This window comes from Homo sapiens, chromosome 1 (genome assembly GCF_000001405.40).
Source record: "Homo sapiens chromosome 1, GRCh38.p14 Primary Assembly".
Taxonomy (NCBI): Eukaryota; Metazoa; Chordata; class Mammalia; order Primates; family Hominidae; genus Homo; species Homo sapiens.
In genome coordinates, this window is record NC_000001.11 from 26,960,853 (window position 1) to 26,977,826 (window position 16,974).

The following is a 16,974-nucleotide window of genomic DNA, read 5'->3' on the forward strand; positions in this document are numbered from 1 at the left end:
CTGTGTTCCTGGTGCTCAGCACAGGTCCTGGCACATACTAGGTGTTCAACAAATATTTTCCACTGAATGAGGCCCTGGGCCCCAATTTCTCCCTTTGCCCTGAGGCAGAACTGGGAGCCTGGGCCGCTGATCAGTTTACCTTTTCTTTTGTTCAGAGAAATCTGCAGGTAAAGACAGGAACCTCAGCTCTGAGGCCCCGAGTAGGGTAGAGGAGGGGGACCGGATATGCAGCTCTGAAAGATACATCCAGGATCAGAAGTGGTGGCCAAAATGGGCCATGGTCACTACATCCAAAAAAGGTCTCTGCAAGAGGCAACACCATTGAATGTCAATAAGGCAAGGCTCAGACTATTCTGGGTTACTGTTCCCCTTAATATTAATAACAACTCAATAACTTAACAATAGCATTAATAAACAAGTGACTTGGCCGGGCGCAGTGGCTCATGCCTGTAATCCCAGCACTTTGGGAGGCCGAGGCGGGAGGATCGCGAGGTGGGAGTTTGAGACCAGCCTGGCCAACATAGTGAAACCCAGTCTCTACTAAAAATACAAAAAATTAGCCTAGCATGGTAGCAAGTGCCTGTAATCCCAGCTACTCGGGAGGCTGAGGCAGGAGAATGGCTTGAACCCAGCAGGCAGAGGTTGCAGTGAGCCGAGATCGCGCCATTGCACTCCAGCCTGGGCGACAGAGCGAGACTCTGTCTCAAATAAACAAAACAAACAAACAAACAAGTGACTTTTAGGGAGCATCTCCAGGAGCCATGCATGCCGAAGCCGTTAATCTGTGAAGTGGGTCAGGTATTATCATATCCATTTTACAGTAAGAGGAAACTGAAGCTTAGAGAGGGGACATTGTTTGCTCAGGCAGTTGGCACAAACTGACTTTTGGCAAGGCACTTTCCTTCTCTAAACCTAATCTCTGGAGATAGTAGTACCTCTCTTTAACTGGGAGGATTAAAAGAGATCATGGATGCAACAGGAAGATATCACTGGGATGCATTAGGCATAGGTGTTCAATTTCCACCAGAGACCCTCCATCCCAGCGCCTCCCACCACATCTTGTCCACATTCCCTCCTGAGGAAAGTGCACATTGTATTCTTATTTGGAGCTCAGAGAATGAGTCACATCCTCACTTCACAGTCACATCTTGTGCAGTTGAACATCTGTGTACTCTAAAACCTAGCAAGTCCATTCCTATGGTACAGCCACAGTAAGCTCTTGTGCAATGCACCAGGAGAGAATGTATACAAGAATGTTACTAGAAACATTGTTTGTGGTAGCCCCAAACCGAAAACACGGAAATGCTACTGACAGGAGATAGAGAAATGTGGGATATTCATGCAAAGGAATTAATTATAGAGCAGTAGAAAATGAATGAAAAATAGCAACATGGTTGGATCATGGTAATATAATATTGGATTGAAAAAAGGCAAATCTCAGAAGACTACATATGGAATGACATCCTTTATATATGATTCAAAAATAACTAGAACTACTGCATCTAAGCATAATATTTGGTTGAACCATATGAATTTGCTGTTATTTGACCTGTTTTGATCTAAAAGTAATGGCAGATTCATGTGCTTCAGCCTAATTTTTACGTGAAAAAAAACTAAGAAAAGAGCAAGGCGTTGGGTGCAATAGCCTGGGCCTGTAATCCCAGCTACTTGGGAGGCTGAGGCAAGAGAATCTCTTGAGCCAAGGAGTTCAAGACCAGCCTGGGCAACATAGCAAGACCCTATCTCAAAAAAGAAAAGAAAGAAAAGAGCAAGGGAATGAGAAACACAAAGTTCAGAATAATGAATACCTGGGGGGCTAGGCATGGTGGCTCATGCCTATAATCCCAGCACTTTGGGAAGCCAAGGATTTGGGAGGTTTGGTTGAGCCCAGGACTTCAAGACCAGCCTGGGCAACATAGAAGGACCTGTCTCTATGGAAGGAAAAAAAAAAAAAAAAAAAGGCTGGTCATGCATCTGTGGTCCCAGCTACTTGGGAGGCTGTGGCAGGAGGATTGCTTGAGCCCAGGAGGTCAAGGCTGCAGTGAACCATATTAACACCACTGCCCTGCCCTCCAGCCTGGAACACACCACACACACACACACACACACACACACACACACACACACACACACAAAATTACCTGGGGGAGGATGCAGGGATCCTCCTATTAAATCTACCTGTGGGAGAGAAACCCATAGGTAGATTTAATTTTTAGCAATGTTCTGGTTTTTGTGAATAGTGGATTCAGGGGCTTTCATTTTATAATGAATGAATGAAAAAATAGAAGTTTATGCTCTAATGCTAAATAATTAGAGTTAGTGTCACTTGCAAAGTTCTCAAGATACGCAAACACATGAGAGCCTAGGGTCTTATTTATTTTATTTTATTTTATTTTATTTTATTTTTTTGAGATGGAGTCTCGCTTTGTCACCAGGCTGGAGTGCAGTGGCACGATCTCGGCTCGCTGCAACCTCTGCCTCCCGGGTTCAAGCAGTTCTGCCTCAGCCTCCCAAGTAGCTGGGACTGCAGGTGTGCACCACCATGCCCAGCTAATTTTTTTATTTTTAGTAGAGACAGGGTTTCACCATGTTGGCCAGGATGGTCTCAATCTCTTGACCTCAATGATCCGCCTGCGTCGACCTCCCAAAGTGCTGGGATTACAGGCGTGAGCCACTGCGCCTGGCCTAGGTTCTTATTTAGTTTTTGTTGTTGTTGTTGTTGTTGCTGTTGTTTGAGACAGGGTCTCACTTTGTCACCCAGTCTGAAGTGCAGAGATGTGATCTTGGCTCACAGTAGCCTCCGCCTCCTGGGTTCAAGGAATCCTCCCACCTCAGCCTCCCGAGTAGCTGGGAGTATTAAGTATTATTTAGTTTTCTCCCCATTTATTTATTCATTCTTTTTTTAAAAAGAAAAAATTAAGGTATAATTTACCTATAGTAAAATTCACCCTTTTTAGTGTACAGTTTTGTGAGTTTTGAAAAATGCATACAATGGCACAACTGCCACAGCAATCAAGATATAGATCAGTTCCATCACCTCCCAGAAATTCCCCTGAACCCCTCTGTGGTCAGTTCCTCCCCTTGACTCCAGCCCTTAACAACCACTGATCTTTCTTCTGTTTCCATAGTTTTGCTTTTTCCAGAACTTTAGCTGTAGAAGTGCAGAATTGCTCTACAAAATTCTAATTCTGTGGTACCTAAAATGCTGTAGATTAATAAGAATATGATGACTGAAGCAGCTCAGAGCTACTTTCCTTGCCTAGAAAGAATAAAGGAAGAAAGGAAGGAAGGAAGGAAGGAAGGAAATAAATAAATAAATATGATCTCTGAACCTCTGGCTACGCTTTCTGGTGAGTGTTTTGTGAAGAGTTTTGCAATAGGCACAAGGTAGCTGTTATTCTAATTATAGCCACACTGAAACCTCCCCTTTCTCTGCTCGTCTCCCTCCCTCACTCAAAGATACTGGGCCCTGTTCCGAAGGGTCCTTCCCATTGCCACGGTGCGTATTCAAAAAGTCTGTCAAAAATCAATGACACTTGGGCCAGGCACAGTGGCTCATGCCTGTAATCCTAGCACTTTGGGAGGCCGAGGCAGGTGGATCACTTGAGATCAGAAGTTCGAAACCAGCCTGGCCAACATGGTGAAACCCCGTCTCTACTGAAAATACAAAATTAGCCAGGCGTGGTAGTGGGCGCCTGTAATCCTAGCACTTTGGGAGGCCGAGGCTGGCAGATCACCTAAGATCGGGAGTCTGAGACCAGCCTGGCCAACATGGTGAAACCCTGTCTCTACTAAAAATACAAAAATTAGACAGGCATGGTGGCAGAAGCCTGTAATTGCAGCTACTCAGGAGGCTGAGGCAGGAGAATCGCTTGAACCTGGGAGGCGGAGGTTGCAATGAGCCAAGAACACTCCATTGCACTCCAGCCTAGGTGACAAGAGCAAAACTCTGTCTCAAAAAAAAAACCCAAAAAAAATCAATGACACTCTAGATACATACACAAAATAATCAGAACAGGGCTTCAAACAGATACTTGTATGCCAGTGTTCATTGCAGCATTATTCACAATAGCCAAAAGGTAGAAACAACCCAACAGATGAATGGATGAACAAAATGTGATATATACGTACAAGGGAATATTATTCAGTCATAAAAACAATGAAGTTCTGACACATGCAACAATAGGTATGAACCTTGAAGACATTATGCTAAGTGAAATAAGCCAGACACAAAGGACAAATATTGTATGATTCTCACTTACATGAAATATCTAGAATAGTCAAATTAATAGAGACAGAAAGGTTAGCCGTTATCAGGGGCTGGAGGGAGAGGGGAATGGGTAGTTACTGCTTAATGGGTACAGAGTCTCTGTTTGGAGTGATAAAAAAAAGTTTTGGAAATAGATAGTTGTGATGGTTGCACAACACTGTGAATGTAATTAATGCCACTGAATTTATATTTTAAAATAGTTTAAATGGCAGATTTTATGTAGAAGTATTTTCCCACAATTAAAAACCAAACAATAATAAAAATACTAATAATTTTATTAATCAATTTAAGTAAATAAATTTTTATTAGTCAATTTAAGTAAATAAATAAAATTTTTTAAATAAATAAATAAATAAATAAATAAATAACAAAACAAGCCAGGCGCGGTGGCTCACCCTGTAATCTCAACACTTTGGGAGGCCGAGGTGGGCGGATCACCTGAGGCCAGGAGTTCGAGACCAGCCTGACTGACATGGTGAAACCCCGTCCCTGGTAAAAATACAAAAAAATTAGCCAGGCGTGGTGGCTCATGCCTGTAATCCCAGCTAATCGGGAGGCTGAGGCAGGAGAGTAGCTTGAACCCAGGTGGCGGAGGTTGCAGTGAGATTGCGCCATTGCACTCCAGCCTGGACGCCAGAGCGAAAATCTGTCTCAAAATAAATAAGTAAATAAAAATAAATAAACAAAAAATAACAAAACCAACCCCCTCCCTACAAAACAAACAAACAAACAAACAAACAAACAAAAAACAAACAAAAAATTGACACTCTTTGAAGCAAAACAGAGTACCTTATAGGTCCATCATTCAGCCGACAAAGGAGAGAGAGGTCTACTGGGGTGAGTTTTCCGGGTCACAACCTGCCTCTCCTGTGCGCTTTCCTTTACACTTTACAAAACAAACACATTTTTTACTTGATCCATATTACAGCCCTATGAGGTTGGCAATGTCATATTCATTTTTACAAGTGGGGAAACTGAGGCCATCAAGGTTAGACCATTTGCTCAAGGCCACACTTCTAATGAGTAGTAAAGCTGGGTGGGAACCCCATCTTTCTGACTCCCCATACAATGTTCCTCACTGTGCCCTCCTCCAAGCCCTTACAGCTGTGTCTGGGTTTCTTTCTTTTTTTTGAGACAGAGTCTTGCTCTGTCTCCCAGGCTAGAGTGGAGTGGCGTGATCTTGGCTCACTGCAACCTCCGCCTCCCAGGTTCAAGTGATTCTCCTGCCTCAGCCTCCCTAGTAGCTAGGACTACAGGCGTGTGCTGCCACACCTGGCTAATTTTTTGTATTTTTAGTAGAGACGGAGTTGCATCGAGTTAGCCAGGATGGTCTCAATCTCCCGACCTCGTGATCCACCCGCCTCAGCCTCCCAAAGTGCTGGGATTACAAGCATGAGCTACCGCACCCAGCGTGTCTGGGTTTCTTTCTAAGCAGAGTGGACAACTGCCTCTGTCATCAGCCTCTTGAGCTCAGTTTTTCCTTTTGGCCTTGACCTGGGGCCATTGTCCCAATCCCCTGCTTTCCCCATGGTTGCTCCACTCTGTTCAATTTTTACTTTTCTGATCACCCTCCTCAGCCACCATTTAGGCTCCCAGGCTGGTGGTGACAGCTTGGTGGGAGGAGGGAAGTATCAAGGATGACGCTGGGCTTCTGGCTGTGTTACTGGATGAATGGAGATGACTGGGGAGGACCAGTTTGGGGTGTAAGAATGCAAACGTAGTGTTAGACCTATTGAATTTGATGGTCTGTAAGATAGCCCAGACATATCACCATTGTATCCATGGATGCCATTTTGGAGTGCTGTTTAGGAGCTGCAACACGTACAGCGCTGGGGCTGTGGAGGAGCCGTGGGTCAGGGGAATGTAGGCAGTGGTGTGTGGAGCCGGCTTCAGTGGACCTGCTTCCCTTCCTTCCCTGGGTATCTGCTGCTTGCCTCTGGTGTGCTTCTCCCATAAGGGCACTAGGGGACAGCACACAACAGTGGAAATTGCCAGAACTTCAGGGTCACAGGTTCTGACTTGGAATACTAGATGCTCAGCTGTGGTGTGAACTTAGCCTCTTTGGACCTCAGCATTTCCTTTTTTTTTTTTTTTCTTTTTTGAAACGGAGTCTCGCTCTGTTGCCCAGGCTGGAGTGCAATGGTGCGATCTTGGCTCACTGCAACCTCTGCCTCCTGGCTTCAAGCGATTCTCCTGCCTCAGCCTCTGGAGTAGCTGGGATTACAGGCACAGGCCACCACGTGCAGCTAATTTTTGTATTTTTAGTAGAGATGGGGTTTCACCATGTGACCGGGCTGGTCTCGAATTCCTGACCTCAGGTGATCCACCCACCTCGGCCTCCTAAAGTGCTGGGATTATAGGCGTGAGCCACCACGCCTGGCCTGGACCTCAGCATTTCTCATCCAAAAATGGTTTTAACATGAGGTAAGATAACACAGTGGTTTAGAGTGTGAGTTCTGGAGCCATAGGATCTGAACTCGTGCCCCAGCTCATACACGTACTTGCTGTGTGTTCCTTTGGCCAAGTTATTGAACTCCTCTGTGCCTCAGACACCTCATCTGTAAAGTGTGGGTGATAGCTTCATGTGGTGATTACAACCGAGACCAGCACATGGTAAGTGCTAAACAGATGTTAGCTATTTTATATTAACCCCCTTCCTCACCTCCACACCCCACCCTCTGGCTCCCTGCCCCGCCATTCTGGGGCTGGGACTCTCAAAGGCAAGACCACTGCCTCTGAGAATAAGCTGAGCAAATTACTGGTATTGACCACGACTGCCTACAACATGTTAGGTTTATTATGTGCCTTATTCCATTTAATCCCCATAATAAGGCCAGCAGGGTGGCTCACACCTGCAATCCCAGCACTTTGAGTGGCCAAGACAGGAGGATCGTTTGAGCTCAGGAGTTCAGACCAGGCTGGGAAACAGCAAGACCTTGTCTCTGCCAAAAAAAAGGAAAGAAAAGAAATTAGCCAGTATGGTGATGCACGCCCGTGGTCCCAGCTACTCAGGAGGCTGAGGCAGGAGGATCACTTGAGCCTAGGAGGTCAAGGTTGCAGTGAGCAGTGATCATGCCATTGCACTCCAGCCTGGGTGACAGAGCAAGACCCTGTCCCCCAAGCGAAAAAAAAAATCCTCACAATAACTCAGTAAACAGATCTCAAACTCCTGTTTTACAGCTAAGAAAACAGAGGCTCAGAGATTTAAACCACTTGCCCAGGGTCACATAGCTAGTAAGTGGCAGAGCCTAGAGCTGAGCCCAAGTTCATTCTGGTTCAGAGCCTGAGCTCTTTGCAGTGGCTCCTCTGGGCCCCCCAGAAACTGGGTCCTTAGAGGCCGGCTGCGTTGGCTCACACCTGTAATCCTAGCACTTTGGGAGGCCGAGGTGGGCGGATCACCTGAGGTCATGAGTTCGAGACCAGCCTAACCAACATGGAGAAACTCCATCTCTACTACAAATACAAAATTAGCTGGGCATGGTGGCTCATGCCTGTAATCCCAGCTACTTGGGAGGCTGAGGCAGGAGAATCGCTTGAACCCGGGAGGTGGAGGTTGCAGTGAGCCGAGATCACACCATTGCACTCCAGCCTGGGCAACAAGAGCGAGACTCCATCTCAAAAAACAAAACAAAACAAACAAAAAAAACTGTTACGCTTGTGGGGTGGGGGTGGCGGTGAAGGGGGTGAGGGGCAAGCGAACAGGGCTCTGTACTGTGTGAGAGCTGTGGAGAGAGGTGCAGGGGAAGCCCCCTGGAACTCCAGGCTGCACTGTTAGACGGGAGCCCCCAGGGATTCCTGGGGTTCTCTGTCTTGTGCCAGTGCTGCACCCCATTGGCTGGGCCTAGAGGGAGCTGCAGGCTGAGGAACCCTATCTTGTGCCAGGTTGAGGCAGGATCTGCTGGTTGGTTCCAAGTCCCTAGTAAAAGTATTTTCCAGAGTCCTTGTGCCAAAAGAAGCTTCACCCAACCCCCTCAATTTGCCAATGAGAAAATGAGGTGCGAGAGGGGAACGAGCTTAGTTGAGGTCACATAGTGAGTAAGGGGTGGGCCTTGGTGAATATGGACCTCTGCTTCCTCACTTGCCTCTGTGTGGTGTCAGGTTAAACCTGGGTTCAGATCCTGCCTTTACTGCTTGGTGCTTTGTGAGCCTGGACAAGTGACTCAGACTCTCTGGGCTTTAGTTTCTACATCAGTGAAATGCATTTATTCATTCAGCCCTTCTCTTGGCTGCACCCTCATCCCCCACCATACTACTCCCTCACTGTTACACACACACACACACACACACACACACACACACACACACACACACACACACAGAGGAAAGGCTACACATGGCCAAGCTGAGGCTCCTGGTCACTCAGAGAGAGCACTGCAGCTCTGGCCACTGAACACCACCCCCTACGTTCTGCCCACCCCAGCCAATGTCACTTCCAAGAGCCAATGCCTCTTGGAAGCCTTCCTAGAGAGCCCCCAGCTAGAAGGCTGTCCCCTATGCTAAGTCAAGGCCATCTGGGTCCCTAAGTGATCTTGACCTCCCCTGCTGCTTTTCCTGCCTTCAGACTGAAGCTCCCAGTGGGCAAGGTCTGTTCTGATTCATCCCTGAGTCCCCAGCACCCAGCCAGGGCAGAGCCCAAAGGCTCTGGCTGGGAGTGTTTATGGAGGGGGTAAGTGAAGGAGGCCCCTCCAATTCTTCCCCTTTCTCAGGAGCCCATGACCACCAGCTTTGCCTCCCAAACCATCGATGTGGGAGAAAGTGCCCTGGAGAGAGGGTCAAACAGACCTGGGATGGAATCCTGGTCCAGCCTTTTCCTAACTGTGTGAACTTGGGAAATGACCTCACTTTTCCGAGCCTCAGTTTCCTCTTCTATAGATAGCATTCCTGAGGAGGAGACATTTAAGCTGAGAATGGAAAGACCTAGATGGAAAGACCGAGAGGAAGAGTGTTCCAGGCAGGGTGAACAGCTGGTGCAAAGGCCCTGAGGTTGGGATAAGCTCAGCATGTTAGAGGAACAGGAAGGAAGCCAGTGTTGTCCGAGTGCAGTGAGCAAGGGGGAGAGGGACTTCTTTTAATCTTTTTTTTTGAGACGGAGTCTCATGCTGTCACCCAGGCTGGAGTGCAGTGGTGCGATCTCGGCTCACTGCAACCTCCACCTCCTGGGTTCAAGTGATTCTCTTGCCTCAGCCTCCTGAGTAGCTGGAATTACAGGTGTGCACCGCCATGCCTGGGTAATTTTTGTATTTGTAGTAGAGTAGGAGTTCATCATGTTGGTCAGGCTAGTCCCGAACTCTTGACCTCGTGATCTGCCCGCCTTGGCCTCCCAAAGTGCTGGGATTACAGGTGTGAGCCACCATGCCTGCCCGGGACTTCTTTTAATCTAAGGGATATGGGAACTGACTGGAGGGTGTTGAGCCAGGGAGTGGCCCTGGTTGCTGTATGGTGATTGCAGGAAGGCAATGCTTACGCGGGGAGTCCAGGTGAGAGATGATGGCACCTGGGGACATGGTGAGAAGTGGTCAGATCCATGAAATATTCCAGAGGCGGATCCCACAGGACTGGATGCAGAGGGTGAGGGAAGAGGGGACTTAGGGTATCCCTTATTTCAGTTGCTTATTGCTGAGAAACAAACTATCCCCAAAACTTAGTGGCATAAAACAACAATGATATATTATTTCTAAAAATTCTGTGGCTTGGTTGGGGCTCAGCAGGGCAGTTCTGGTTCCGCCTGGCTGATGCATGTGGCTGGGAGCTTAGCTGAGACTGGATCACCCAAAACGGCTTGTCTTCCTCCACGGCCTCTCATCATTCAGAAGTCTAGCCGACCGTGTTTTAGCGTGGCAGCTGGCCTCCAAGAGGACAAGCCCCAGTGTGCAAATGCTTATCAAGCCTCTGCTTGCTTCATGCTTCTTGGTGTCCCGTTGCCAAAACAAGTCCTACAGCCAAGCCCAGAGTCAACATGGGAGGGGACCATACAAGACCATGGTTCATTGGAGGCCACCAGTGTAACAGTTTAGCACCACCCCTACATTTGTGGTAGAAGGAAATGAATGAAATTCAAGGGTAGAGGGGAGTGGGTGGGGTTTGCCAGAGGTCATGGGGTGATGGTGCAGGGTCCTGCCCAGGACCTCCCAAATTAGACACAGGAGGACACTGGGCTTGGGAGAGTCAGCAGCAGTGGAGACACAAAGTCCCTGGCAGGTACGGTGAGGCAGGGTGGGGTGGGAGTGGGGGTGGGGAGGGGGCAGTAATCGAGGTAGGGAACCCAAGAGGTCTCCCTGAGCCCCTACTCCGTGCCTAGCCCTGGGCCAAGCACTGAGAGAACAGGACTCAGTGAGTGACCTTGGGGAGCCCACAGTGTGTCAGGACACAGACTATGCCCAGAGATGCCAACACAACGTGAGAGGCGACAGTTTAATGCTGCAGTGGAAGGTTATCCAGGGCTCGTTGGGTCCCAGGGGAGGGATTCCAGGAGTGCTTCTCAATTTGAGGAGGCGCTAGAAAATAGTTGTTGGTCAGACAAGGTGGTGCAGGGTGAGATACCAGCCACCTTCCATCCCTGGCAGCAATAGGTAAAAGCAGACACACAAGAGAAGACCATCTGAAGATAGGATTCTTCCCATTTTATGGATAAGCAAACTGAGGCTCTGAGTGAAGAAGTAACTCAACCCAGACCTGTCTCCCCACATCCTGGGCTTCTTTCCATCCTGTCCAATTCTTGCCTAAATCATAGCGAAGGTGAGGGAAGGGAGGGCTCTCTGCAGAGCTGGTGTGGGATGGGGAGGAGCTGCTGTGGGAGTGCCCCTCCCTCTGTCCTAGGCTTGTGCTACCTCCCTTAAGGACGTCTTTTCTTACTGTGGGCAGAACCCTGTGAGGAGACATCAAGGGAGCTGGTGCCATGGACTGGGGATGGGCAGACCCAGACTTGTCCCCAAGGAGCCCCCAATCTGAGGCGGGAACCCCAGCCTTGCCTTCAGGCCCCCCTCTGTGGAATCCAGGCCTCAGAGGCTCCCCGTCTGAGGGGGCAGGGAAACACTGGTCTGATCTCAGGAACCCCAAGTCTACAGGGATGAAGGGGAACTGTGTGAAGGTCAGAAGCCATAGGTCAGGGCCAGGGAGAGCATGGAGTATCTCAGGTTGGGTCTGAGCAGGGTTCCCTACCAAGTGGGGAAGGAGAGTCATTGCCAGGTTTAGCCCTTGGGGCTCAGGTTGGGGAATAGGAAGGAGGCTGGGAGCTCAGAGCCTGGTCTAGCTCAGCCTTGGTCTGAGTGACCTTGAGTTTCACCTACTCTTCTAGGCTGGTCCTGCGGGTCTCCAGGACTCTGCCAAGCAGAGCTGCAGCACGGGAGCTCAATGACACATAAGCCATCCCAGAGGAATATGAATGGTAGAAAAAAGGAAAATATACACGAGCCAGCTGAACTCTGGCCTTCTGCAGAAGGGAAAGGCAGCCCCACATTCGACCACATCCTGAGCCCTGCTGTTCCTTCCCCCCAGCATGTCTGGGGGCAGGGGTGGGGGTGGCTGCTATGTCCTCAGAAATGGGAGGAGGAGGATGGAAGGGATGGAGGCGGAAGGGGAGGTCCTGGTATCTGATGCGCTCACAGCAAAAAGCCTCTTTTCCTTGGAACTAGAGCCTGCTGTAGGGGGCTGGAAGCCAGCCTGAGAGCCTGGGGTCTCAGGAGGGGAGGAGACTGGGGGCAGGGCAGGCAGAATCTGGGAAAGAGAGGGGATGGAGACAGAGACCTAGAGAGTCAGAAGAGAAAGAAGGGAGAAAAAAGGCAGAAGCAGGTGTAGTGGGGATGAGTACTGGTGCACACATTTAGGTAGGCAAGAAACGGGCTATTTTTAAAAACACACTTAGAGCCCTCATTCTACCTGGCTGTTGCGAAATCCAGTCTCCATCATTGTTGGGCTGTCTTAACCTGTGACAGCCCCCAGAGTTTGGCCAAGGCCCAGAAATGTTACAGAACCAGATATGAACAAGACCCTTCAGCCGGGTCCGATGGCTCATGCCTGTAATCCCAGCACTTTGGGAGGCAGAAAGGGCAGATCACTTGAGGTTAGGAGTTCAAGACCAGCCTGGCCAATATGGTGAAACCCCATCTCTAGTAAAAATACAAAAAGTAGCCGGGTGTGGTGGCGGGTGCCTGTAATCCCTCAGCTCGGGAGGCTGAGGCAGGAGAATGGCTTGAACCCAGGAGGTGGAGGTTGCAGTGAGCTGAGATTGCACCATTACACTCCAGCCTGAGCGTTGCAGCGAGACTCTGTCTCAAACAACAACAACAAAAAAAAAAAAACCACAAAGATTAGCCGGGTGTGGTGGCATGCGCCTGTAGTCCCAGCTTCTCAGGAGGCTGAGACAGGAGAATTGCTTGAACCCAGGAGGTGGATGGAGGTTGCAGTGAGCCAAGATCTTACACCACTGAACTCCAGCCTGGGTGACAGAGTGAGACTCTGTCTCAAAAACAAAAAACAAAAAACAAAAACAAAGCCCTTCAGTCTGGTTACCAGGCTGCTCTGGTCACCTGACCCGCATTACCCCATCAGGTCAGGGACTGTGCCATTTGATGCCAGCTGTGCATGGAACATGCAATCTTTGCTGATCTGGGAGCCATGTGGGATCCCACCTTCTGAATGGCACTCATCCCCTTGAACTCAGACCCTGGATCCCTTCCCTGGAACTGGGGAACCTGAACTGCCATCCCTGCCTAAGAGGCTGGGGAAGGAGCTTCCCACTCTGGTCCCTGGGTCTGGAGACCTGTCCCTCAGCATCCTACAACCAAGCAGCTGGGACCAGCCTAGCAATCCCTCTTGGGCCTGGAAGCTTCAGGCCCAGCCAGAGAGCCTGCTAAGGTCGGGGTGGGAGGATCCCAGGATCCCCACCCCTGGGTGGTGGGGGGACAGCAGCCAGCCAGAGCTGGAGCTTCAACGTGCATGAGCAGGAGGGACCTGATCCAGAACTCAACGGCTGAGAAACTATTCAGTGCATGTTTATGATGTGTCTGCAGTGGGTCCTGGGCTACAAGACACCATGTGACCTGACCCTTACACATTTGTTTTTAAACTTTGTAATGTGAAATATCTCATACATTGAGAAGAATATATGTATGTGTGTGTATGTATACATGTGTGTATATGTGTATACATATATACATATAAAATATACATGTTTGTACATATATCTAGATAAAAGTATATGTATCATTTAAATATTAAAAATGTAATGAACAGGCTGGGTGCGGTGGCTCATGCCCGTGATCCCAGCACTTTGGGAGGCCGAGGCAGGCGGATCACGAGGTCAGGAGATCGAGACCATCCTGGCTAAAACGGTGAAACCCCATCTCTACTAAAAATACAAAAAATTAGCCGGGGGTGGTGGCGGGTGCCTGTAGTCCCAGCTACTCGGGAGGCTGAGGCAGGAGAATGGCGTGAACCTGGGAGATGGAGCTTGCAGTGAGCCGAGATTGCGCCACTGCACTCCAGCCTGGGTGATAGAGCAAGACTCAGTATCCAAAAAAAAAAAAAAAAAAAAATGTAATGAACATCCAGGCAGCCAGCACTAATTTAATGAGATTTTCCAGTACTTTTTTTTTTTTTTTTTTTGAGACGGAGTCTCACTCTGTCGTCCGGGCTGGAGTGCAATGGCATGATCTTGGCTCGCTGCAACCTCCGCCTCCCGGGTTCAAGTGATTCTCCTGCCTCAGCCTCCCGAGAAGCAGGGACTACAGGCATGTACCACGCCTAGCTAATTTTTTGTATTTTTAGTAGAGATGGGGTTTCACCCTGTTAGGCAGGATGGTCTTGATCTCCTGACCTGGTGATCTGCCCGCCTCGGCCTCCCAAAGTGCTGGGATTACAGGCATGAGCCACCGAGCCGGTCACTTTTTTTTTTTTTTTTTTGGAGACAGGGTCTCATTCTGTCACCCAGGCGGGAGTGCAGTGGCACCATCTTGGCTCACCGCAACCTCCACCTCCAGGGTTCAAGCACTTCTCATGCCTCAGCCTCCTGAGTAGCTGGGACTACAGGTGTGTGCCACCACGCCCAGTTAATTTTTTGTATTTTTAGTAAAGACGGAGTTTCACCATGTCGGCCAGGCTGGTCTAGAACTCCTGACCTCAGGTGATCTGCCCACCTCAGCCTCCCAAAGTGCTGGGATTACAGGCATGAACCCCCACGCCTGGCCCTATTATCTTTTAAATCTCAGCAACAACTATAGTTAAGTCCCTTTCTTCAAGCCTAACATTGTTTATTTGTGCCACCTCCCTTTCTTTGTCTTGATCAATTTTGCCAGGAGTTGCTCAGTATCGTTACTCTATCAGTTAGGAATTGGATTCAGCTGGAATCTAATCCGAGGCCAGCAGCTCACTGTTCTGTCATCCCGAGGGCCAGGCCCCTGCTTGTTCCTAAGGTTCTTGATGGCATTCACCAAATCTGAGTTTCTGACAGCAAGATGGAGAAAAGTAGAGAGAAAAGGGCAAAGGTTGTGGCTACTTGTTCTCACTGGCCGCTTAATATCAGCCCAAGGCTCAGCCCTTGGTCCTCTCCTCTCATCTCACGGTCATCTCATCCAGTTCAGTGCCAGCTATGTGATCATTCCAAATTCATATCTACAGCCCCATCCCCTGCCTTGAGCTCCAGAAACAATTTCAACTGCCCACTTGAAATCTCTGCTTGAATATCTAAAAGGCATTTCAAACTCAACATGTCTAAAATTGCACTCCCTAGAAAAGAAATCCAACACAATGCTGGAGCCCCAAATGGCCCCTTTCTTCTGAATGCTTTCTGATTGCAATGGTGATTGCAACTTGGCTTCCCCTCCCCAAATAGAATACAACTCCTGGTACTGCATCATTCAATGGAACTCAACCTGTATTTTATTTTATTTTTTTTTAGATGGAGTTTTGCTCTTGTTGCCCAGCTGGAGTGCAATGGCACGATCTCTTGGCTCATCGCAACCTCCACCTCCCGGGTTCAAGCGATTCTCCTACCTCAGCCTCCCAAGTAGCTGGGATTACAGACATGTGCCACCACACCCGGCTAATTTTGTATTTTTAGTAGAGACGGGGTTTCTCCATGTTGGTCAGGCTGGTCTCGAACTCCCGACCTCAGGTGATCCGCCTGCCTTGGCCTCCCAAAGTGCTGGGATTATAGGCGTGAGCCACTGTGCCCAGCCAGGTGCATTAAAAAAAAAAAGAAAGAAAGAAAGAAAGAAAGAAAATAGAAGCCGGGCACGGTAACTCACACCTGTAATGCCAGCACTTTGGGAGGCCGAGGTGGGCTGATCACCTGAGGTCAGGAGTTCCAGATCAGCCTGGCCAACATGGTGAAACCCCGTCTCTACTAAAAATACAAAAATTAGCCGGGCATGGTGGCATGCGCCTGTAGTCCCAGCTACTTGGGAGGCTGAGGCAGGAGAATCTCTGGAACCCGGGAGGCGGAGGTTGCAGTGAGCCAAGATGGCGCCACTGCACTCCAGCCTGGACAACAGAGTGAGACTCCATTTCAAAAAGAAAATAGAATGGCATAGAATAGATTGGCAAGGAAATATCAGTGTGCCCCACACATAATTGGGGTGAGTATGGCTTGTGAAACTTTTGTCTATATATTGGGTCCTGTTGTAAAATGCCAAATCATGAGCTGAAGTAAAAAAAATTTTTGACTGATCTAGGCCTCAGGGTTCAACAGGTGGCCTCGGGGTTCAACAGGTGCCCTTGGGACAAATGCCAGCTATAAGGCTCATTTACTGAAGAGGAGTGGCCCTTTCTTATTATTTCTGTTAATTTTTTTCCCTTACTGCATAGTCAGTCCATTGTGGAGGCCAAAGCAACTCCACCTTGGATGCTAATCTGTCATGTTGACTTCTGATTAACCCTAGTTCCAGGAAGGCCTCTAAGATTTCCAGTTCTTTGTGTAAGCACAGGTACTTACCATAAATCCTGCCCTTAAGTCAACCTTAAAACAACCTTGATGTTTTCATACTTCAGTTGTCCTATACATCTCTTCAGAATCATGTCTACTCTTTCCCTGTGGTAGATAAGCCCTGGGTCAGGGGTAATGACACAGGGATCCACCATCACTGTCCCCCGAGAAACAGGCATAGCTTCTGTTTGTAAGTCCCTATTACATGTTTCTTTCTGAAAAACTGGATCTGTCAGCCTTTTTTTCTTTCTTTCTTTCTTTTCTTTCTTTCTTTCTTTCTTTCTTTCTCTCTTTCTTTCTTTCCTTTTCTTTCTTTCTTTTTTTTTTTTTTTTGAGATGGATTTTTGCTCCTGTTGCCCAGGCTGGAGTGCAATGGCGCAATCTTGGCTCACTGCAACCTCCACCTCCCAGGTTCAAGCCATTCTCCTGCCTCAGTCTCCCTAGTAGCTGGGATTACAGGTGCCCACCACCACGCCCGGCTAATTTTTTGTATTTTTAGTAGAGATGGGGTTTCACTATGTTGGCCAAGCTGGTCTCAAACTCCTGACCTCAGGTGTTCCACCCACCTCAGCCTCCCAAAGTGCTGTGCCACCATGCCCGGCTTAGCCTTTTTCTTCAGCCTCTTAGCTTCTTCAGACTTTGAGGATAGGTTTGCATAGGCCTGCCCAGGACAGGACTTCAGGACATCATCAATGCCTTATAAAAGATAATTTTGGAACATATCTATATTTTTTTAAGTGCTATATATGAGGAAGGGTTTCTCTGCACCCTTCTTCTTCCATTT

At 48.5% G+C, this 16,974-nt stretch overlaps 2 annotated features.

Moving 5' to 3' along the window:
- Positions 606-900: a silencer, noted in NCBI's record as "tiled region #5798; K562 Repressive DNase matched - State 20:ReprD". NCBI's record gives its function as "represses a minimal TATA promoter and a strong SV40 promoter by Sharpr-MPRA in K562 cells {active_cell/tissue: K562}" and the evidence as "EXISTENCE:reporter gene assay evidence [ECO:0000049][PMID:27701403]".
- Positions 5,879-6,579: a silencer, noted in NCBI's record as "S3 fragment used in the reporter construct". NCBI's record gives its function as "represses activity of a beta-globin enhancer-driven SV40 promoter in transfected K562 erythroleukemia cells {active_cell/tissue: K562}" and the evidence as "EXISTENCE:reporter gene assay evidence [ECO:0000049][PMID:30886051]".